Source organism: Homo sapiens, chromosome 2 (assembly GCF_000001405.40).
Source record: "Homo sapiens chromosome 2, GRCh38.p14 Primary Assembly".
NCBI lineage: Eukaryota > Metazoa > Chordata > Mammalia > Primates > Hominidae > Homo > Homo sapiens.
In genome coordinates this window covers 197,850,730-197,876,327 of record NC_000002.12, presented here as the reverse complement: position 1 = coordinate 197,876,327, position 25,598 = coordinate 197,850,730, and the positions used below count along the sequence as shown (strand labels likewise).

Sequence of the window (25,598 nt, the reverse complement as noted above, 5' to 3'; positions counted from 1 at the left end):
AATGCTTCTTTTCTAAGAAGCTCGTTACCAGCCCCTCTTCTGGGCCAATATTTTCCACAAAACACTGTGGGATTCTCTATTATTTCACTTATCACGTTTGTGTTATAGTAATATTCCTAGCTCCATCTCCTGCAGAGGCAGGCACAATACCCAATGCTCAGAAACGTTTGTTGAATCAGTGAGTAACTCCCCTCAATGTGCTTAACCATACTTCTTAGATACAAATGTAAATTTCATCTACAAAAATGTTTTTATAGTTAGTGCCTATTCGTGTTCATGGAAATCTTTTTTCTCTGGGAGTCCAAGTTTTGGGGAAATTCTGAGTTATCTATGACTGTAGCAGTGTTATATAGTCAGACAGCACAGAGGAATGTTAAAAGAACTGCATTTCAATTCCAGGCTCAGCCAAACATTTACTCTCCCTGTGTCTACTTTCCTTATCTGAACAATAGGGACTGCAATACCAGCCTGTCTCACACATCTGCTGGGAACAAGAACTAATAAAATGTATCAACTATCTAGAAAATATGTAAATGACTTGGAAATTTTATCACAATAGAGACAAAACAAATGGTAGCAGTTCTACGGTTTTTTTTTTTAAGCCTAATGCATCCTTGGAAACCATGACAGTAAAGCAAACCATATTTCCCTGAGGAAATAACAGGAAGATTGGGTGTTATGTCGGGAGCAAAGAGTAGATATCAAATAAATATGACTTCTGTAGTAATTATTTAGCTTTTTATACTGAAGTATATCACACACACAGCAAAGTACACAAAATATAAAGGAAGCTCAATGCGGTCTTTTTAAAAGCGAGTGCACCTTACTAGCCATCAACCAGGTCAACAAATAGATCATTTTGAGTACCCTAGATGTTCCTTCCTGCCTTTCCCAATCACTACCCTCTTCCTCCTTTCAAAAGCAACAAATGTCCTAAATTCCTAACTGTATTATAATTTCCTGACTGTCCTTATCCCATCTATAGTTTAGTTATATCTATTTTTGAACTTTACATAAATACATTAATACAGTATTTTTTTTTGAGATGGAGTGTCCCTCTGTCACCCAAACTGGAGTACAGTGGTGTGATCTTGGCTCACTGCAACTTCCACCTCCTGGGTTCAAGTGATCCTCCTGCCTCAGCCTCCCGAGCAGCTGGGACTACAGGTGCACACCACCACACCCAGCTAGTTTTTGTATTTTTAGTGGAGATGGGGTTTCACCATGTTGGCCAGGCTGGTCTCAAAATCCTGACCTCAAATGATCCGCCCACCTCGGCCTCCTAAAGTGCTGGGATTACAGTCATGAACCATTGCTCCTGGCCTGAGTATATGTATTATTTTGCATCTGGTTTCTTTCATTCAGTATTATGGCTGTGAGATTTATCCATGTTGTTGAACATGGCTATAGTTCACTCATTTTCATCACTGCATAGTATTTCATTATGTAAACTATTAGTTATCTATCCTACTATTAAAGAACATTTTGGTTGTTTTGACTATTATAAAGTTAAATAGATAAAATTACACTGCAAACCCTAGAAAACAAGCATAAAATATACTATATGCTATCAATGCATAAGAAACCTTAGTGTACCATATGCAAATTGAATCCCAACAAAAAATTATGCTACATAACACAAAAGTCTATTAAATCATAAACAATCTAAATCTAAAACACCTGTGTATCAAACTTAATATTTAATTTGTGCTTTTTCACCTTTTAAAATTTCAAATAAAGTGTTTATTTGCTTACTTTTAAATAGTTTGGAGGACTTGGGCTTCTTTTTAAAGAAATCTATCAAGGTTAGTGTAAACAGATAATTTAATTTTCTGTCAGTATATTTTCCTGCAATAAGCAGTAAATTTTAAAAAATCATTTCATTATAAAAAACAAATTTTAACAACGGCTATCTCTGGATGATGAGATTATTAATTATTTTTATTTTCTTTTTGTTTATCTACATATTCCAAAGCTTCTAAACTATATTATAATTTTTAAAGTTACTTTTTTCTATAACGAAGATAATTTCATCAGCCTTCAAATTGCAATATTCAAAAATAATCTAAAGAAAATAGAATTTATATCAGTAAGTTGATGTTAAAAAAGTGGGAAAATTTGAAATACCAGAAAGGACTTGTGACTGCATATTTACTATGGAAATGTGACTACACGCCATTGAGATTTGAATCCGTCATTATTTTGACAAGTAGCCATTTCCCAGAGCAAGTGCTATAAAATGAAAAACTTATAAGTAAAATTTCATAAGGTTGCTTTGAAATTACATTTTTGTTAAAGAACCATTCTAAATACTATTGATAATATTGCGTTACTAAAGTCAACATCAACAAGTACTAAAAAATATTTCCTTTAAGAAGAAAAGCTATCAGTGAACAGCTGAGTGTGGAGATGAAATGAACTACACTGGGTTTCCAACAAAAAATAAGCAAACAAACAAGTAGCAATGCTGAGCCTTGTCCGAAATATTTTGCATCGCAATTTAAGCTCAGATTGTGGTGTGCCAAAAATCTGGCAAAGATTGAGACACCAATGTCAGGACTTTTTTAGGATTTTCCTATTGGAGGAAGGTGGCCTGATATATTGGTGAGGCACAGAGACAATAAAGTCAGACTGGCTGAATCTAAATGTTCTAATCCCCACCCCCAGCTTTGGCTGTATGACATTGTAGACCGTATGGATGCATGCGTTGTGACTCATGAGTCCCAGGGATAGCCACAAATAAGGGTTCTGTTATTTGCATGTGCATAAAACTCAGCCAGATGGATGGGGGTAGCAAAGCCAGCATGCTTGCTACTTTGCAGAAGCCAATTATAGCATGGCTGTGAGCAGCCACAGCCCAGAAGAACCTCTCCCAGCAAGAAAGTTCCCCGCCACAAAGTGTAAGAACCTGCCCAGCACAGCTTGATGACAGTCTCTCTGCAGGGTCCATGCTATTCCTCTACTGGCCACAGGCACTGGACTTCCTGCTGGCTCTGTAACCTATGCAACCACCAGAGAGAAAAAGAGCACTCCGTGCCTGCAGGCTCCCACCTAGAAGCTAAGATGCTGGGGCTTTTTACCCCCACCCTAAAGGAACATGTGTTTGTGATATGTGTATTAATAGAAAGTTTTTTGAATAATGTTATAGTAAACAATTTGTATTGAATACACATAAACATGTTGAATAATTATATTATAAAAATGAGCAATTTAGAAACCTTCCCTATATTAATCTTTTGAAGCCAGTGGAGTGACTATAACATAGTGTGTGGTAAATCTTAGACCCTTGTTAACGCTGACAAACTTTGAACAAGATACTTAATCTCTCTGTGCTTCAGTTATCTCATCAGGAAAATAAGGTAATAGTAATAGTTCTTAGCATGCCATGATGATCAAATAAGATCATAGATGTAAGAACTTTGGATTGTGCTAATGCCTACTAAGAGCCTAATCAATGTGGGTTATTATGCAAATAATTTTACTCAGCCTGTCATCCTGTAGTTATTGTCTTCTTTCCTAGTATAAGAAATCTTTTACTCAAGCTTATCTTACTGGCATTTTAAACAAATAATAATAATATAATTACAATTGTAATCACAAAAATAGCTAATTGAGAATTTATTGTGTACCAAGCCCTTTATAAAACTTACATAATCTAATTCTCTCAATCATCCAATAAAGTGGGTATCATGATCATTGTCATCATTGCCCCCATTCATCAGATGGGAAAAATGAAGCTTAGAGCAGTTCAATAACTTGCCTATGATCACAATCTAGTAAATGGTAGAGCTGAATACAGTCATGGATCTGTGGCACAGCCCTTAACCATTAGGGTACAGTGCCTCCAAGGAAGGGATGCCAATCATATGTTTGGTATAAAACTTATGGTTGGCATTGATGCCTACAGTTTAATGGGGAAAACAGACGGATTACAAATGAGAAAGAGGGAGGACACAGGCAGGCAAAGAGATTCAAGGCCCTAAATGCCTTCCAGACTTAGTATAAAGAAATTAATAGGATAGGTGATTGGTATTGTGCTGATTTGGCTATATTTCATTGAGAGAACTTCCTCTGCTTGCATGGAACAGGAAATTTGCTACCTAAAAGTAAATTAAGGTCACCAGAGGACCTGATGAGCTAAGCAGAAAGCTCTTGGATTAGGCCAGGGGGGAGAAAACTAACAAATTATTTCAGGTCAACTGGCTTTTTAAATTTTACATCTTCCAGCATTGTAAATATTAGTCCGAGTTACTCACAAAAGGTTTGTAATCCAGACTGGAATTTAGTGTCTACAGCAACAAAGTGACAGCACAGCTGAACAAACTAGCCATTCACCAGGAGTCCCAGGAGCTAAGTACCTGCCCCCACTTCTTTCCCACAGAAAGCATGTCCTTGGGTTTATTAGAGAGCCTCCAAGTCCCTTTGTAGAGGGTGTAAAGGGGAAAGCACAGGTGTCCTTGTCAGATAGGTGAGTGTTGCAGTGCTGGTCGTGTTCTTATGGTTGTGTGTTAACCAGAGCAATCAAAGCAAAATTAGAGATTTACTCAAAGCACTCAGGGAGGGGGACACTAAGGAGTGCACCTAACTTAATTTAGGTGGTATTTTGTTATTTTTGTTTTGTATTGTTTGGGGTACGATGTTATTATAAGCCAAGGAATGCCAAGGATTTCCCACAGTCACCAAAACTAGGAGACAGGCATAGAACGAATTCTCCCTCAGAGCCTCCAGAAGGAACCACCCCTTGCTGACACCCTGATTTCAGATTTCTGGCCTCCAAAACCATGAGAAAATGAATTTCCGTTTTAAGCCAACAAGGGTGTGGTAATTTGTTACAGCAGCCCTAGGAAACTAAGGCACTCCCCTCAGTGGATCCAGGTGGGGGTCTGGAATCTGCATTTTACCAAGAACCTCAGGCGTTTCAACACTTGAGAACTTCTGCCTTATCCTATTCCCTCTGGTCTCAGGAGGGCCACACTGCCCCTTCCCTTATGAACCTCATTCTAAGAACAGGCCCCAAAAAATCTAAAGCCAGGGATGTAGGGAAGACTAGGGGTTTCTCTCCAAACAGTACAGGATCTGTTTGGGGTGAAACAGATGTGTCTGCAACTGTACAGGCCCCTCACATCCCTCAGCTAACTCTTCAGGAGTTTAAATTAGGATTCTAAATTCAGGAGTCTAATCAGTCTAGTAATTTAAATGTACCTCTCATTCCTGCTTGAGGGTAAGTATCAAGCCTCTCTGTATGGCATTAGACCCAGGAAGTATCTCTGCCTCTAACACCATCCCAAACACGGAATTTTACACAATACAAAATGTTCACTCTTGCTCATGTAGTTTAATATCCAGAAAAACAGCTCCTCTCCCGAGGTGAGCATCTGAATCACGGATGGTATCAGATATAGTGAATTGGAATGATCAGGGTAAGGGAGTGTGATAAGGAATAGGGGCAGCCTGGTCTCTTTTCCCCCCAGTAGTAAGAATCTCAGCTCTAAGGAAGAGCGTCACTCCTATCTACTCACATCAATTCCACATCCAAGGAGAAGCAGTTCTATTCGAGCTCAAAGGAAAATGTGCATATTCAAGAAATATAATTATACCAAGGCAGCTGGACTTGGAGGTATGGGTAGTAGAATAAAGAGGTTCAAAGTTTTCCACTCTTTGAATAGATGTTCAAAGTTCTCTTCTGTTCAAGCCTGACACTTTTCTCTCTTCCCTTCCCGCTAACAAATATGGTAACACTCTCTGAGGGTAGAGATGCCACATATTTAGAAGGGGTAATGATACTTAGGAGGCCTGTGCAGAGGTTCCCAAATATGCATCAGACTCACCCAGGAAGAATAGTTAAAATGTCCATCTCTAGTCCCTACACCAAGAGATTCTCATTCACTGGGTCTTGGGTGGGTGGGACTCTTAACGCCACAAAAACGAACCATAGGCCTCTAACCTACATTCTATGTTAAAAAGGTCAGTGTGGCTCATGAAGATGTGACTAGATAAGGGTTTGGAGCCTACATGTACCTGAGTGTCCCTTGTACTGTGGTATCAAATAGATTGAAGGTAGTAGGAGACCAGATCAGAATTCACATCAAACACCCTAAAAGCAGCAAAGCTCCCCTTAGCATTTACTCTTATTTCTGCATGCTTTAGTAATTCAAATTCTAGCATGAGTCAATTCTAATCAGTTATTTGTGTAATTCATTTTAGCTAAAGTTCAGTAGAACTGCTAAAACCAGTTAACTCCACGGAGACACAAAACAAAAACTCCATGATGCTTCGTGGCCGCCCAGATACACGGGAATCTTTATTACCCTTCCTGTTTCACAAAGTTTGGTTTCTACCATTTAAGATTTCTGATAAATAACACTTATGGAAAAAAAAAGTATGCTTGAAACCTTTTTACAAAATCAGATAAGAAGCTAGAAGATAATGTTGTGGTTTTCTTTCATGTGATCCCTGAATTACGTAAGAAGTCTTGCCATGAAATTTACCGTTGCAGCATACCTTCTACTATGAGCTGTTGCTGCTGTTTTTACATGACAGATAAAAATTGATGGTGTCAAGAGGTGAGGAGGGATTAAAACCAAACACTAGGATAACATCAAAACTTCTTTCAGTCACATCTGTCCCCATTGTTTTGCTCTCTGCACCAGTGATGGCTCAGCAAAGAAATTACTTTTACATATCTGTTCTCTTTAATCACTGTACCACCCGTGGCAGTTGTCACAATTATCTTGATGCTTTTCTGGCTGTTCCTTCCTTCACATGATCCTCACCACAACCATTTAAAGAACAAGTATGTGACTGCATGAGTCGAACATCAACAGGCCTGAAGCCAGAAATAGTATTATTAGAGTCACAAACTGAATCTATACAAAGTGAAAAAGTTATTATGTAAATATAAATCAAAATAATCACTATTTTTGTTTATATCCCCATTTAGGCAAAAAAAAAAGAAAAAGATACGTAAATTCAGGGGAGTCAGAGGAGGTTATTATTAAGTTCCTCTAAGAAGTGTATTGCTCTTAAAATAATAATTTCACTAAGTACATTGTGGAATGGCCCATGTGGAAGCAATTTGATATGATAGAAACAATAGGGCCTTTAAATCGGACAGTCCTGGTTTTAATTCAAACTCAGTTACTTACTGCTTGGCCTTGTGCAAATCATTTCACTCATCAGAGCCTAAGTTGTTCTCTAATTTTTAAAATGGCAATAATAATGTCTGTCTCACAGACAAGATGTAAGAGCTAGAGAGGACTCTGGTAAACATTGCATTGCATTGCTCAGCGTATAACAGGCACTCAAACTGTCTGAAGCTTTCTAACACAATTATCAGTTTTTAAGTTAAAATGTGACTAAAACTCACTCTTTCACTAAGTTTAATCATTTAGGTATTAATAAAGTATAATTTCTTAGTATTTTTCTCTGGTAGTCTATTCTTTTCTCCCTTCTTGTTTGCTACTAACCAGGAAATTATATAACTGAACCAAACCTGTTAAAAGTATGTGTAAAGGCCAGGTATGGTGGCTCATGCCTGTAATCCCAGCTCTTTGGGAGGCTGAGGTGGGTGGATCACTTGAATCTAGGAGTTCAAGTGAACTTATCTCTACTAAAAAAAAAAAGCGAGACCTTATCTCTACTAAAAAAAAAAAAAAATTCAATTAGCCAGGCATGGTGACATGCATCTCTAGTCCCACCTACTTGGGAGGCTGAGGTGGGAGGATCACTTGCGCCCAGGAGATGAGGCTCCAGTCAGCTATGATCGTGCCACTGCACTCCAGCCTGGGTAAGAAAGCAAAATCCTGTCTTTAAAAAAAAAGTGTAAAATTTTTTAAAAACAAACTGATTTTGCATGTGGTTGTAGAAGGGTTTTCCAGTGAATAAAGATAAAGTACACAAGAATAGGTACTGCATAGACACTGGGATATCTCTTAGGTTATCTCACGAGCCAATTCAGCTTCCTACCTGTTTCTTGCCTAGTTTCCACCTAGTTGAGATTGTCAGATAAGCAACATCTGATATGAAAGACACTGCAGTAATCTACCATTAGTAAATAGCTCACATTTCAGTAAATGCCTAGCCATGTATTTAAATGGAAAAGACTATATGAACACTTCTTTAGCTAGAAGTAATATTCATAAGCAAGCATATGCAGAGTTTGCAGTTTTGACTGGACATAAAAGGTTCACAAAACTTCCAGCAGTTATAATAGCTAAGATAATACCTATTTCTAATGAATAATACAGTGGTCACCGGGTGGATAGGCCTTTCAATTGTAAAAATCCTTGCCATTTGTTTTCAACCATTTGGTATTTTACCTACAGGATCAATCATTGTCATGTTTAAAGTATACAGTATACTCATACAGTTGTCACAGAAATGATGAACAGTGGTTAAAGAGGTATAACTTCAAGTTGAGAAAGACAATTTACAGCACACAGCAGCATACTCAATTTTTTTTATGAGTATTTCTGTGAGATCACCACAAGAGTCAGAGTGACATCTCTAAGGAATTGCTGATAAGGACGTCTGGTTGGGGACAGTGAGCCACGCTAGAAATCCTGGAGCAGAGTAGGCAAGATGATGGCAGTGTTCATCTAACTACTACCCTGGGGATCCCAGCAAACCACAGCCAGAGAAGCGAGGTGTAGCAGGGATGTGTCAGCAACAACTGGCTTGATTGCTCCTGGTTAAGGCTGGAAGAGATTTCCTTAGCATATGAAAGTTCTCATTCACAAGATCATGCACAGAACTAAATGGGACTAGAAACAAAAGATTAGAAACTATGTCTATTTCATCAATATCTTATCACTAATTTTCAAAAATAAATCATCAGATGCTAATTTTGCCAAGTACTCCTCGAAGAGAAAATGGAATATTTGACAATGCTCCATAATGTAATAGCAACAAAGACCAGCGGACTTATAGTACAAAAAAAAAAAATACCTACAGATCCTAGAAGTAACTGCTATAACAGAATTTAATATAGCACCTGACAGCACAGCACAGTAGCCCATTAATCAACAAGTATTCACTATCTATGTGTATACTGCTGTAGAAGATTTAGGGAGAAAGAATAAAATGAGATCACCGCCCACATCAGTCAGGCCAGGAAGGACATGCAAAAGTAAAAGAAGGCATTGCAGAAATGCCCTTCCCTGAACCTCCAGCTCTACAGCAAATCCAAAGCAATGTGACATTGGACAAGGAAGGCTTATCATTCTGACTTCAGTCTTACTCTCCAGGCTCAGATCAGGGGCTTTCTCCCAAGGTCAGATTTCCTGTGTTTGCTAATGCATCTCGGGTCATGCTAGATAACTCTTTCAATCCATTAGTGTGCGTCATTGATCCTACTGGTCCTTCTTTAGCTTTATGAATGATGCCTTTTATGTAAAACACTTGAGAATTCCCAAACGATGATCGCCATGGGGTTAATCCAGGTAGTGCATAGAAGTGTAATAACAATAATGCCTAATTTTAGGATTTAGTATGGGTTCTCCAGAAGCAGACCCCAAGTAGGGAACAGTGGTAGGGAAGTGGGGAAGAGAGACAAAGAAGGAAAAGCATCTAATAAATCAGCTGCCAGAGTGGGTGCTTGGAGCTGAATTCCCTGGGGAAGCTTTCAGAACTAGTGCAAAACACAGCTTCAGAATTATCTCATCTGAGGGTGAGGGAGCTGGAGTATTTATATGTCACCTCTAGAGAGTTATTAGATGAGGGCTGCTGGAAAAGCAAGCATATTAATTCCCTAGAATGAACTGCTGTCCATGGGCAAATCAGCATTTGAGATGCAGGTGCTGACAGTAGAAAGTTCACAAGAGAAATGTGAAAGGTCCTGGGGATAAGGGTTGGCTCTGGTAGCATCTGCCCCATTAACATTCAGGTAAGTAGCCCTATTCTTGTTTATCCACTAGAATAAGTGACAAATTAATTCAATGTGAAAGTACTAGGAAACATAACTAATTCTTTTTTAAAATAAAACTGTAGATTTTTTTCACTGTTTACAAAGAACATTTTCAGCCAACGCAAATGTTCAAGATATTTTTGGTGTTTAATCTAAGAAAAGCTATCATAAATTTCTGCCTAGCTATTCATTTTTGCTCATTTCTTAAACTAACTATATATATATATATAGTTTATATATATATATAGTTTATATATATATATAGTTTATATATATATATAGTTTATATATATATATAGTTTATATATATATATAGTTTATATATATATATAGTTTATATATATATATATATATAGTGTGTGTGTGTGTGTATATATATATATATATTTTTTTTTTTTTTTTTTTTTTTTTTTGGAGATAGGTTCTCACTCTGTTATCCAGGCTGGAGTGCAGTGGTGCAATCATGGCTTATGCAGCCTTTAACCTTCTCTCAAGCTATGCTCCCGCCTCAGCCTCCTGAGTAGCTGGGACTACAGGCAGGCACCACCATACCCAGCTAATTTTTGTATTTTTTGTACAGACAGGGTTTCACCATGTTGTCCAGGCTGGTCTTGAACTCCTGAGCTCAAGTGATCTACCTACCTTGGCCTCCCAAAGTGCTGGGATTACAGGTGTGAGCCACTATGTCCAGCTTAAACTGTGATTTTTAAAATATTAAAATACATCATTTGACGCGTGAGCTTTGATTCCACTGATATGTTTCATCTAACTTAACGTGCTAATTAGCATTTCCGATTTATATTTGTGCTTTTTTAAAGTCAAATTTGTTTTTAAAGATTTATAAAAAGGTAAATTCAAGAAGAATTCACTGATCTAAGCTTCCATGCTCTCACGGCCATATCGGTAGTTTTCTGTCCTGATCTCCCCTGCCCCTTCCATCTTATTGCATGTGAGCTCCTTAAGGTTAAAGGGACTGGGTCTAAAACTTCTCAATATTTTCCAAATTTCTAACAAGAAGCCAGGTTTACTTTCCAATTTTTGAAAAACAGTCCCGTTTTGCTTTTAATAGTTTGGAAAGGTGAGCTGGAATCTAGTGAAATTTCTTCAGTGCTGAGAAATGCTCCTTATAATATACAACCTATAACTCACCATTATAAACTATCTGACCTACGTCCCCTGCTGGTTTCCCCATATTTCACTAAAGGACCACAGGACCAGGCGAGATCTCCCAGCAAAGCACTTCATTGAGTGACTGAAACCTATTTTATTTTGAACTCTGTCCCTCAGTAGGTCACTTATCTTGCTGTACCTTAGATTCTTCAATTATAAAAAGATGATTTGTTGCTAATTAACCTTGATTCACACTCTAATTGGGCACTAAAGTACAAGTCACTACACAGAATTAGAGGGTCTCTATGCAGTGGGCTCAAAAGCAACTAACTTTAAATAAAAGGGTTTAATATAAAGTGGCTTAGATCAAGGTGAAATTAGTATTAAGAGCATTCAAGTCATTTGGAAAATAAAGACTGAGTGAACATTGCTTTCACAAGGAAGTTCTTAACCGCTTCTGTAACTGCTGATTTTTAACATGTTTTTATACTGTATAAAAATGTGTCCGGTTGAAATAAGATTTTTTTAAAAGAGTAAAATTGGCCAGGTGCAGTGTTCATGCCTGTAATCCCAGTACTTTGGGAGGCCAAGGCAGGCAGAAGGCTTGAGCCCATGAGTTCAAGGCCAGCCGGGGCAACATGGTGAAACCCCATCTCTACAAAACAATTAGCCAGGCATGGTGGCACACACCTGTAGTCCCAGCTACTTGGGAGGCTGAGGTAGGAAGATTGCTTGAGCCCAGGAGATCGAGGGTACAGTGAGCTGTGATTGTGTCACTGCACTCCTGCCCAGGTGACAAAGTGAGATCCTGTGTTAAAAAAAAAAAAAAAGAATGCTATTGAAATATGCATTCACATTATTAAGTATTTATTAAATTACTATTATAGAATAGAAATTATACTTAACAAAGAGAGTTCACCCCTTAAAAAATAAATGAAACATAGAGAAACAAAAAAAAAAAAAAGAAAGAGTTGACATGAGATTTGTTTCCTTCATTCTCTGGCCCTCTGTTACCATGATGCTCAAATCTTAAATGCCACCTGGAGGGACAAGGATAACAGAAAAATAACTTCCATGTGATATACTGAAATTGGCAGGGGACAGTAGAAGACTTCTCATTGTTCTTCTAACCTCCACTGCCTTATTGAGGTATTGTCAATTACACCATCAAGATATCTTTATCAGGCATTATTATCATAGTTTACCTGGCATGATCTATTTTAGTCTAAGAGGTGACCAGGGACATGGTTAGAGAGCTAAATCTGTCATTCAAAAAATTAATTATTCCTCCTACTAAATACTCTGCTAGAAAAATAGAGAAAGAAGCACTGGGACTTTCCAAATGCTGTCATGTCTATGAGTGTTTAAGATGTTATTAATTCTTAAAGGAAAAATAGGCCATACCAAAGAAGTCACATGACCAACAGCTATCTTATCAAAGTGCTCTGCAGTATAAAAAAAGTCCTCTGACACTGTTCCTTATAGAGAAATTTAATATTAAGTGTACAGGTAATAAGTTGTATTGTTTATACACGGGATGACTTCAAGTCCTGGTTTGTCTAGATTCTGCCTGGTCTCACAATGTAATTTTCCCCTGTCACTCTCAACAATGTCCTAGTTTGGACTATTGATTAGATGATCACCTATTTATACAGTAATCTATGATAATAAAAGGAAATTTTATGATATCTTCTTGTATAAAACCCCTATACTATTTAAATAGGCCAAGTTGGCAGGAGCTAATTCATCTCTGACTTGAATTTTACCAACAGACAGAACAAATCAGAATATCCATTCTGATTTTTTAAAGGAATACATTAAATGTGTCCAAGAATTCTAGAAATGGTTATGATATGACAAGCTACCCAGAAACATGCAATAATCGATCACATTTATCTATCTGTTATCAGACTAATAGTCATAATACTATTTTATATAACTGATGGATGCAAATATAACTGTTTTGAGTACTTTTAAACACAATTTACAAATTTTTAATGGAGAAAACATTTTAAGTTTGTCCAACACTGAATTTTATAAACAGCATCAAGCCTTTTCATCACATTCAGTGTCTTCCATCTGTAAAATCAGAACATTATTATTGCTAAATAATTGCGTGAAAGGCACATAATCATTAAAAAAAAAAAAAACGCTTTAAGAAAAGACCAGAGAGTGCAAACTCTTATCTATATTTACCCAGCAGAGTTCCGAGAGCAAAATACACAAAAACTCAAAAGGCTAAAATATCCTTTTCTAACAACCGTCTCTAATTTAAGACATATTATTGAGCATCTACTGCGTTCCAGGAACATGTACGTTACATTTGTAATAGACCCTAGCTGTGTTTGGCTTGCCATGTCAGCTTTACCCTACTTTTGAAGTCTCCTATTGTTATCTAGAATCTACTCTTCTCCAGTCTCAATCTGTGGGCTTAGGATGAGGGTCCCTGACTTTGTTCCAGAAGAACAACAAGTGAAGCAAGAGAGAGGCCTGAGACAATCAAGGTATTCCATCCTTCTAGTTCATCTGGGGTTGGACAGACACATGACTCACACCAGATCAAGCAGTCCTAAACAGATCTAATCTCAGGCATTTTCCTGAGATTAGAAAACCATTCTTTTCTATTGTACTTAAACCAAAAGAATACAGGGATTTAAACTATTACAACTAAAGTGTTCCCACATCAAGCCTGAGACTGGCACCAACACAGAAGAAAGAGACAAAAAACATGGAGAAAGAAAAACTGGGTCTTCATTACCTCCTCAGGCCCCTACATCCAGCTGTACTGAAATGTATTCCTCTTAACCCTCCCTTTATATGACCAATAATTTCCCATTTTACATTTTCTGTCTTTTGCAACTAAATGTCTTGACTAATAGATCTGATTTCACTAGAAATAAACTAAAGACAAGTAGTAGCATGTACTTCCTTTTCCTTTTATTTCCGTATCTCTTTTCACTTATTATTCTTAGCTCTCCAATAATCAGCAAATCAAGTTAGCATTTATCAGAAAATATTTATTATTGTCAGTTATATAAAGAACAGTATTTCAAACTAATTCTCCAAATGATTGTTTTTAGATGCAGTGCAGATTATTATGATCATGGCATCACCAGGAGAACCTGGTTGATTCTCATAATCATTTAACAGGTTCTTAAAAGTTATAGATGCTATCTAAATTATTAAAATCCATGTAACTCATCTATCTGTAGACTCAGATTAATTTAATTACTCAATAAGGAGACAATTAATTATCACTTAAAGGGGAAAATGCTAGAAGTTTGCTTTATTGGTTTTCTTAATCACATATATACAATTCCATTAAACTGAAAAAGAAGAGTGCCGTGAGCCTTTGTCAAATTGCTAAATATATTACTTTTTCCGTATTTTAAATTATTATTCATCTTCATTCCAAAACCAAGCTTTCTTCAGCAAATTCCTTATTTGATATTGAGGATATAGGAAAAAAACAAAGTCAGTTTCTCCTATACTGTCACTCAACAGTCAACACAAAAGATTTCTGTGACCAAATGTAGGGGTAGGGGTTCCCCCCCATACACCAAGCAAGCAATCACTTCTGCAGCAGACACCAGCTGGGTGTCCTCTAATTCAAGTCAATTGTGACACTCTCTACCTGGAGGTAGTTCAGATCCCACAGGTTGAAGTCTCAGTCCCCAAGACTTCCCCTCCTTATCCTCCACCCACCACCATTCTGATGCCAATTGCAAATTCCAGGTTATTTTACCTGTGCTTCTGACCAATCGGCTATAATCAGGGTTTCCACAATCCCCTACTCAAGTTTGATTAATTTGCTAGAGTGGCTCACAGAACTCAGGGAAACACTTATTTATACTTTCTGGTTTATTTAAAACGATGTTACAAAGGATACTGATGAACACCAGATAAGAGATGGATAGGGCAATGTATGGGGGAACGGACACAGAGCTTCCATGCCTTCTTTAGGTGCTCCACCTTCCAGAAACCTTCATGTGGTCAGCTATCTGGAAGCTTATCCAAAGCTTTTATGGAGGCTTCATTATGTAGGTATGATTGATTAAAATATTGTCTATTGGTGATCAACTTAAACTTTATCCCCTCTCTCCTTCTCAGAGGTTGGGGAATAGGGCTTAAACAGTTCCAACTACATAATCATGCCTTGGTCTTTCTTGTGATCAGCCCCCATCCTGAAGCTACCCAGGGGCTGCCAACCACCAGTCATCTCATTAGCAAACAAAGAGACGCTTATCACTTTGGAGATTTTAAGGATTTTAGGAGTTGTATGCCAGGAAACTGGGTGAAGATCAAACACAGTCATGTGCCACTTAAGACAGGGATCCCAATCTAGACAATACCATTCTGGACATAGGAACGGGCAAAGATTTCATGACGAAGATGCCAAAAGCAATTGCAATAAAAGCAAAAATTGACAAATGGGATCTAATTAAACTAAAGAGCTTCTGCACAGCAAAAGAAACTATCAACAAAGTAAACAGACAACCTACAGAATGGGAGAAAATTTTTGCAAACTATGCATCTAACAAAGATCTAATATCCAGCATCTATAAGGAACTTACAAATTTACAAGAAAAACGGTCCCATTAAAATGTAGCAAAGGACATGAACAGACACTTTTCAAAAGAGGCATGCATGCCGTCAACAAGCATATGAAAAAAAGCTCAACATCACTGATCATTAGAGAAATGCAAATCAAAACCACAATGAGATATCATCTCACACCAGTCAGAATGGCTATTATTAAAAAGTCAAAAAATAACAGATCCTGGTGAAGTTGCAGAGAAAAGGGAACACTTATACACTACCGGAGGGAGTATAAATTAGTTCAACCATTGTGGAAAGCAGTGTAGTGATTCCTCAAAGAACTAAAAGCAGAACTACCATTTGACCCACCAATCCCATTACTAGGTATATACCCAAAGAAATATAAATCATTCCACCATAAAGACACATGCACACATGTGTTCATTGCAGGACTATTCACAATAGCAAAGACATGGAATCAACCTAAATGCCCATCACTGGTAGACTGGATAAAGAAAATGTGGTACATATCCACCAAGAAATACTATGCAGCCATAAAAAAAGAATGATATCATGTCCTTTGCAGGGACATTAATGGAGCTAGAAGACATTATCCTTAGCAAACTAACACAGGCATAGAAAACCACATACCACATATGCTTATTTGTAAGTGGGAGCTAAATGATGAGAACACATGGACACATAGAGGGGCACAACAGATACTGGGGCCTACCTGAGGGTGGAGGGTGGGAGGAGGGAAAGGATCAGGAAAAACAACTGATGGGTACTAGGCTGAACACCTGGGTAACAAAATAATCTATACAACAAACCCCTGTGACACAAGTTTACCTATATAACAAACCTGCACATGTACCCCTGAACTTAAAAAAATTTTTTAAAAGACAGAGATCTGTTCTGTAATGTGCACTGTTAGGCAATTTTGTAATTGTGCTTATATCATAGAATGTATTTATCCAAAACTAGGTGGTATAGCTGACTATACACCCAGGCCTATTGCTTCTAGGCTACAAACCTATACTGTATGTACTGTACTGAGTACTATAACAATCATAACACAATAGTAAGTATTTGTGTATCTAATCATAGGAAAGGTAATAGATATCACTACGACTTTATGACCACTACAACTCATGAGACCATAGAAATTTTTCAGCTCCATTACAATCTTATGGGAGCATTGTTGTATGTGTGGTCCATAGTTGGCCAAATTTTGTTATGTGGTGCATCACTGTATATATTTCACAATTTCACAGATATAAACTGAAAAAGGCAAGACATTTTAATGTCTCATATACAAACTTTTTAAAAGAAAATACAGTAAAATTTTTAAGCATTTTATTTTTAAAAGGTATAAGTAGGTTTAAAATTCAATCTAATTTAAACAACAGATTAAGAATTTATAAAACTGAGTATCAGACACATCTGAGGGAGTCTTATTTATGTCTAGTTCTTCTCTTCTTCCATGGAAGCTTCTCTTCAATTCGTGTTTATTTAACCTCAGCAGAAATAAGAAGCAAGGTAGGAAGAGGAAGAAGAGAAAGCTAACATATTTCAGGATCTCCTATTTCAGGCAGAGCTAGTGGTAGATTATAAACAGCCACATTTCTTTGCAGCTCATTCTATCAAGCAATGGAATCTACTTTTCGACTCCTTAAATCTGGGCTAATCTTATGCCTCACTTTGATGAATAGAATGCAGCACAAGTGGGAGTTCTAAGCATAGACGTCACGAGGCCTTCCAGTTTTCTCTCTCTCCCTCTTTAAAGGCTATGCCATGTGAGCAGCTCTGAGCTAGTCCACTAGAGAGGCCCCATGGAGGAGTAACAAGGTAACCAGCTAATAGCCTGACAACTGCCAGACAGTTGACTGAGGCCATCTTAGATCACCTACTCTCTGCCAACTGACTGCTATCACAAGAGTGAGCCAAGGCCAGATCAGCAGAAGAACCACCAAGCAGAGCCCAGGCTGAAGGGCTGATCCACAGAATTGTGAACAAATAAAATAGTTACTGTTCTAAGCTGCTAAGTTTTGGAATGGGCTGTTATTTGGCAATAAATAACTGATAAAGTGCTTTACATGATTATTTTGCTTAATCTTAATAAGAAAGTTACAAAATAAACATGGCAGACCCTAGGGTTGTGAGGCATGAAATTTATCCAATTTGGGAAGCTTTCATTAGGAAAAATAGTACACATAATATAAAAATAGGAAAATAATACAAAATGTACATACAAAGGAAGTAAACATATAATTATAAACCCAAAAATATCCATGGCCATTTCAGTACCACCCCGCATAAGGGAGAACGCGATAGAGGAAAAATCAGAATGGAGACCACAGGCTTAATAAAAACAGCCATGTGAACACATGGCTCAGGCCCTTTGGAGGGCTTGATTCGCTAAGCCTCATTAACTTCACAGGAAATATACTTCAACGGTTAGCATTACTTTATTTTACAAGAGGAGCTACAACTCAGTGGCTGTCACTTGCCTTGGGATCACATGGATAGCATGCTGGAGAGCCAGGATTTGAGCTCAGGTCCCTTTGTTTCCAAAACATGTGCTCTTTGCAATACCCAGGCTACCTCCCTACCAATAGATCACATATTCATTTTGACCTTGTAATCTACTCCACACCAAGTTTTATATCAATTGAAAACACCTCTACTTCAGTATTCCGAAACATACCCCACTGCAAAACCTATCTAAGTACTTCTCTCTCATGAGGTATGTTCAACAGCCCCATGATGTAGGAGTAAGAGGGCCTGGTTTCCTGTCCATTTCTCTGATTAGATGAAGAAACTGCAGAGTAAATGCCCTCAGTCAGGGACTCTTTTGGCTTCCTTTTTTTTCAAGATCCCTTTCACCATATGTCAACTTCCTCTTGGGCAAGGTTATATAATTCCAGAAACATTGAGTGCTGCCATCTTGCTTGCCTACCTATTTTATGCCCTTGCCTTTGCATTTTTTCATTCATTCTATTTGTATCAAGTTTCTTCAAGTGCATATATAAACTTGCTTATGCACAATAAGCCCAGAGTGAAACCATGCTTTAATAACTTGTAATTAATCATTCTGTGTTCAGCTAGACCCATCACTGCTCACTCTCCTTTCAAATGACCTTCACTAGAAAACTAGTGAATCATTACTACAACATGGAAACCAGATTTCTTCTCTTTTAACATTTAAATAGACTGCTTGTTTGCAAGGAATTCCTAGCTTTTCACCTCACTAAACTGATACAATCAGCTGATTATTTGTTTTGCAGCTCAGTTTCAAAGTCAGAAGCCCTGATCAGCAGTACTATAGTAGTTTATTCAGTGTACCTATGCCTATCAGAGAACAAACTTTCTGTGTAAGGTTTAACCTTGGGAGAAAAATTAAGCTGCTGGAGAATATAGCTGAAGATCTCTGCAGAGGTTGTACTGGTGGTGATTTAAAAGCATGCCAGGCAGCCTGGTATAGAGAAAAGAATGCAGGAAGGGTTCAGAGATGGCCACATGCCATTTCTGGTAGCTTCAGCTGTAAAATTCTGTCAATATATTGACTTTCTCCTTATCAAAGTGATCTTAAAAAAAAAAAAGTTCATTCTCTTTTTTTTAAATTTCCAACTTTTATCTTAAGTTCAGGGGTACATGTGCAGGATGTGCAGGTTTGTTACATAGGTAAACATGTGCCACAGTGGTTTGATGCACATATCATCCCATCACCCAGGTATTAAGCCCAGCATCCACTAGCTACTTTTCCTGATCCTCTCCCTCTTCCCACCCCTCATTCTCAATAAATATTTTTAAAGTACAGGAATTCTAAATATACAATCGTCTTAAAGTTAGACCACTTTGAAAAAACTTCAAAAAGCCTCATCATAATGTATTTTTAAAAGTAGTTTTAAACAACAGAATAAAGGTAATGAAGAATATTGTAGGTAATAAATGTTAAGTCACAAATATTGCAAATAATGGCAAAATAATGGCTCATTTCATCTTTACCTATACATTGGTCTTTGGTTGTCTGAACTAAACTTGGAAACAAATCAATGAAATGTCCTGTGAAGGGTTTTTCATATCTTATATATTGTATAAACCACTAGGCTAGCTGTAATTCTTCAACTTCCAAGTAAAATAGTCCAGGTTGAAATTTAATAAAATTCCAACTGATTCTTCCCTAGAGAGCCAAAACTCACTTTTATATAATTCGTAACTGCATACATACAATAAATTTAAAATGTTGACAATAACATTCTGTTAAAGATAAATGCTTTTCTGATTTTTTTCAAGTTCATTTCCTGCATAGGTACCTTTTGGTAAGTTGTTTTATAAAAATAACATTTAGAAAACTGTCATTGTAGTAACAGTAAGCCAAACAGCATAAATCTAAGATCCTATAATGCTAAAGAAATTTTAGCATCATTCTCCTCTAACTTATCTCGACTTCTATCTCATTTATCAATTGTCTTTACAATAAGCATGGTTGGATATGACAACTATAAAAAGGAAGTAAACGTTCCATCACAGTGTCACTATGACCTACGGGGCTGGACCTCTAAGTAGTCCATGAACTCCCTAAATTGGGAAACAAAATATTATGCATATGTGTGTTTCCTCTAAGACCAATAAAATAAAAAGCACAGCAAGACAAGTAACTCAAAATTGTCTGATATGTTCTTAAAGTTCCATTCAAAATCACCTTAGAAAGTAAAGCTTATGCAGTGAGACAAAATTTGGTGGGGACACTTGCTGTAGATATGGCTGGCCTCTGTTTTAGGTTCAAAGGAGGTGACCAAGCTAAAACAGGTGCCCTTACTGAGTAACATTCTGAAGTGACATATTTTATGGTGCTCCAATGGCACATTTGAACAACTGACTGAGAAGCAGAGGTTAACCAGGATGTTTCTCCTGTAGTGAATTAAAAGCATAGACATTAACAATTTAGCCACTGAATTGGTCTTTGGTCATCTGAATCAGGATTCAGGTGAAGCAGGATGGGCCCCGTTAAAGAAGGCTAGGCACAAAGACTAACCCAAGTGGAGAAGTGATGTGGAACAAGTGAAGGACATCAAGTTGGCAAACCTACATTAGGCAAGGAGTAAAGTTAGCTAGAGGTGTAAGTAACTAGGCTCTTGGAATTATAGAAAGACATGGAAGCAGATAAATTAAAACCCAGCCAACTAGATTGTTCTGGAGAAGCCTGTAGAATCCAAGCAGGAGCCCAGGACCAGACTAGCTGGGCTATCAGAAAAGGTGGAAAGAAAGTGATAGTGCAGAATTTTGGTCACAAGGAACAAGAAAAAGGCTTATTAATAGAATCAGACAAAGGCATAGCAAAACCAACCAAAGATTGATTTGTTGTGAATGACCAGATTAAGTCACTAAGAACAGGACTGGTAGAAAAACCTAAACCAGGGCAGAATCCACATGTGGGGATTAAGCGGCTTCAGCTCTGAAAAAAAATAGCAGTGTGCCAGGAAAAAGGGCAAAGCTAAAATGAAGAGTGGGATTTACTTACAGTAGAATGGGCAAGCATGTAAGCTGAGAGGAAACTAATGTCAGGTGCCAGTCACAAACACGGATGCAAGGAACAGTTTATTCCCTTAGCCCACCTCTCAGTTTAACAAAATTCTTTCCCCAGTTTCCTTAAACTAAATGAGGAAATCCGTATACTGACTTGAATATTTATGAGCTTTATTAAGTTACTTGCTCCCAGAATATTAGCCAAAAGAGGGCCTCAACTAACACAAGGATCTTTATCCTAGTGACTGACCATTTCAGTTATCCAAAAGAATATTCACAATGACCACAGGACAAGCTGTAAAAATTCTGTCTTTATTTTAAACATGTAATTTTCAGAATAATATTTAGCTTAAGCTTTAAACCAAAAAGCAAAAGCATGGGGGAGGGGAAAGCATGGCATTACAGTACCAAAAAAAGTGACAAGCCATCCAACTGAGACCCTCCATAATTAATTCAGGCAACTCCTGAGTGCTAGTAATTTCAGGCCCTTAAGTAATTTGTATCTTCCCTCCTTTTCTCCTTACACAAATGCTTAAAAATAAACTTACCTCATTACACTTCAACAAAAAATATAGCCCTAGTATACAGATACACAAGTGGAGTCCTTGTACACAAAATTTTATAATATTATGTATGTATTTCTTTATAAATAAATGTTAACATAAATTATGGCATCCAGAAAACTTTATTTCAAATTCTTGCACTATATACCTTTGCAAACATTATAATGCTTAATAAAAACTCATTTGAAGATTTTTTTTTGCTGGAAACTAAAGAAGCATGAAGACTCTCAACTAGTCAACAATGTAATGTAATTTAAGACGAAAATGGGTCCATTTCCTTCCTTTAGGAAATCTCCTAGAGATGAGGCTGAGGCAGAGAGAAGCCTCACTCAGTAAGAAATCAATATATGTTTAGATTTATGTTTGAATTGGCTTGGTATTCCACTTGTTGGGAAAAGGTAGAGTTAATCTTAACCTCATACTATTGCTGGTCACTCCTAAATTCCAGCCCCATTTCAATTCAGAGTACCCTCCTTCTTCAACAAATACTTTTGTGTAACTGTTTTGTGCCAGAAATTGCACTCAGGGCCAAGGATGCAGTGTTGAAGTGACACAGGGCCTGCCCTCACGGAACCTCTGAACTCACAAGCTAATAATGTGCGTAAGAATCACCCAAGGGGAATGTTAAAATTCAGATTCTCAGACCCAGCATGGGTCCCCAAAGCTTCCAAGGATTCTGATGCAGGTGAGGTGGTCTTTAGGAACACACCCTGAGGAACTGGTCCAGATGAAGCCCCCTCCAGATAGATCCTATAAGTGTCTGCTACCACTGAATCTCCAGCACTGACCACATATTAGATATTTCAGTACATATTAAATTAGTCTACAAACAGGAGATGGAAGAATGAAGAGATAATCCCTATTCAGTGTGGCAGGTACAATGATAGAGGTGCCATAAAAGCATAAAATGGGGCAATATAGCTTGGGTAGAAACAGGGACAACTTCCTAGAGAAGGCAGCCCTTGAACAAGTCTTACAGGATGCATAGGAGGGAGTCAGGTAAGAAAGGCCATTACAAACAGAGAGACAGCAAGAGCAGAGGCAGTGAGAAATAGCAAGATTTAGGCAGAAACTACACGTTTTGTTGCTACTGGCTCTAGAGGCAAGAAATGCTGGCACTTTAACTACATTATCTCTAACCCTGATAGCCCTCTTCCAGTTAAGGATGATTATTCCTGTTTCACAAATAAGGAAGGTGAGGCACAGAGAAATTAAAGTTTGTCCTAGGAAATGATATCACAGTTCCTCAAAAAATTAAAGCTAGAATTACCATATGATCGATCCAGCAATCCCACTTCCGGGGAATATACCCAAAAAACTGAAAGCAGGAACTCAAACAGATATTTGCACACCTGTGTTCATATCAGCATTATTCTCAATAGCTAAAAGGTGGAAGCAACACAAGGGTCCATCATTAGACGAATGGATAAACAAAATATGGTACATACCTACAATGGAATATTATTCAGAATTTAAAAGGAAGGAAATTCTGATACCTGCTACCACACGAATGAGCCTTAAAGACATTATGCTAAGTGAAATAAGCTAGTCATAAAAGGACAAATATTGTACGATTCCATTTATATGAGGTACATAAAAGAGTCAAATTCATAAAGACAGAAAGCAGAATAGTGGCCACCAGGGAGTGGAGAAAGGAGAAAATGGGGAGTTTATGTTTCATGGCTATAGAATTTCAATTGGGGAAGATGAAAAAGTTCTGGAGATGGATGGTAATGGTTGCAGAACAATGTGAATGTACTTAATGCTTAAAAATGGCTAAAATAGTTAATTTTATGTTAAATATATTTACCATAATAAAACAAAATTTATACAGATAGACAGACATAGATACATATTATAGATGTATATAGATATCCTAGTGGCTGCTCTGGGATTCAAGTCTAGCTCTGTTTTCTAAAAGGAGTGACTAGTTTCACCCTCAGGCCCAAAATAGGAGAGGTTTAAAGAAGGGACCTTGGCCAAAGCTACCTACAACCCGCCAGCATCTTAGAATTATAACATTAATTAGCAGTGACTGGCATCTATCAACATTTCTATACATATATGAACATTGAAGAAAAATCCATCGGTATAAAAATGTTAAATGACAGAAGCAATATGATATATTAATCCTGAGAGCAATAGTAAAAGATAGTTACACACCTTCATCTCCTCCTTTAATCTACAATAAATGCAAATGAATGAGCATATTAAGTGCTTCCTATCTCTTTTTAATCACTACCATGCCATTCCAAGCATAGAGATTTTTTTACAAGCTGTAGCAAACAGATAACAGTCATGAAGTTGGTAAAACAATGTGTAATCAGATGACAATCTAGAGCCAGGATCAGTACTCTCCAGCTGCCTTGTCAAGAGTTTGGCTGGCCAGGGCAGGCTGCAGCACACAGCAGTGCCATCTCCCCACCATCCTCCCTGCTCCCTCCCCCACCCTACCACATTGCAGCTGTGCAACAGGAGGTGCCAGGAATTGAAAGGCACGTTGCCTTGAATGATATTTTTGCCCTCATTCCACATGCTATTAAGTCCCTCCTACCTCCAACTATCACCACCCGGTACATCAAAAACATGGCCAAAGCTGTCGCTGAATTCATTCACTGCATTTGCTGCAGCTTTAAAATACATAGCAAAATCAAATGCCAACCATCCTTATTCATATATGAGAGGAGAGCTATTTGGAAATTGTTCTACATTGACCTTTTACTACCAACAGCAAATCCAAATGCCCAGCCATGAGCCATCTATCTTGTGGCCTCACATTGGTACAGAAATGCAATCTTAATATATAATCATCAGGGTTTGGGTGAGGTGGAGTCAGGGGAATGGGGCCAGGTGCCAGTACTTCTTCTATTTCATCTTGTTGGGGTCTAAAGGCCCCTTGAACTTTGTCCAAGGCTAGACCTTCTTGTCCTCCTGGTCTCCTCTAACATGCCTATTTCCATACCAGGACCTGCAGGTGAGGGGTAAGAGAAGTGAAATTGCTCCCCCTGGAGCCAATGTCTTTTCTCCCCCACTGTCTCTACTGCTTTTCACTACTTTCCCCAGTTCCTGTCTCTTCTCTTTCTTATCACTTGTACCCAGATTTTAGGTGTCATTGGGAAAGTCTTTCTTCTTATAGCGGCTCAGGCAGCATGCCTTGCCATAAACACCAATAGCTTCATATGCTTCTTCAAATAAAGACCACTGCAGCCAATCAGAGCACTGCTTTTATTCCAGACAGATAGCTAATCAATACTTCTATCACTGTGCAATAGAAAAAACTCTTCAGATTCTAGATTGATTATTACTTGATAAGCTACGTAATTACTAAAATGCATCTGTACTGACTGTTTTGTTGTATTTTTTCTATGTATGTAGAACTGCTCCCAAAGTCTGAAGTTTCCGGAAATCCTATCTTCATGTTTACAAAAACTGCATTTACATAAAACAGATGTCAGGGAGGAAAAAAGTTTTTCCGCTGCTCTCTTAGGTTTATTTCCTGGAGGTATGTGAATTAAACTGACAGAAAATAAAATAGCAAGAGAAAAGAAGGAGTTTATTTACACGTGCAATGCACACACATGTGGGAGTGCCCAGTGATGACTAACTCAAAGGGGTGGTTAGAATATGAGACTTATATACCTAACTTTGTGGGGAAAGGGGAGGAAGCTCCTATGGGAAAAACAGGTAGGCTTCCTTAGGAAAGGCAAATCAATTTTTAGGAGAGCAAACGGTATATAAGAAAGTTTGTGATAATGTTTGTTTATGGAGGTGCAAGTGGTCTTTCTGTCTTCTTCATGGCCATGAAACTCTCCTGGAGAGAGGATTTATGGTAGCCTCATTTCCCACAAGTTGCTGCTTTTAGTCAGATAAGGGAAGCTCCAATATGTGTTCTTGAATCTCAAATGTCTCCAGCTTGAAATAAACTTTATACCAACTCAGGGATTCCCGTAGGT

At 37.8% G+C, this 25,598-nt stretch overlaps 1 protein-coding gene across 2 annotated transcripts in view, besides 1 other annotated feature; it reads right to left on the bottom strand.

The window, feature by feature from the left end:
- Positions 1–25,598, bottom strand: part of PLCL1 (phospholipase C like 1 (inactive)) — a 345,271-nt gene that overhangs the window by 273,536 nt on the left and 46,137 nt on the right. The gene's annotated exons all lie outside the window — the stretch shown is intronic.
- Positions 2,780–3,280: an enhancer, noted in NCBI's record as "H3K27ac hESC enhancer chr2:198737772-198738272 (GRCh37/hg19 assembly coordinates)". NCBI's record gives its function as "activates a minimal SCP1, AML or CMV promoter by ChIP-STARR-seq in primed H9 embryonic stem cells {active_cell/tissue: H9 hESC(primed)}" and the evidence as "EXISTENCE:reporter gene assay evidence [ECO:0000049][PMID:30033119]".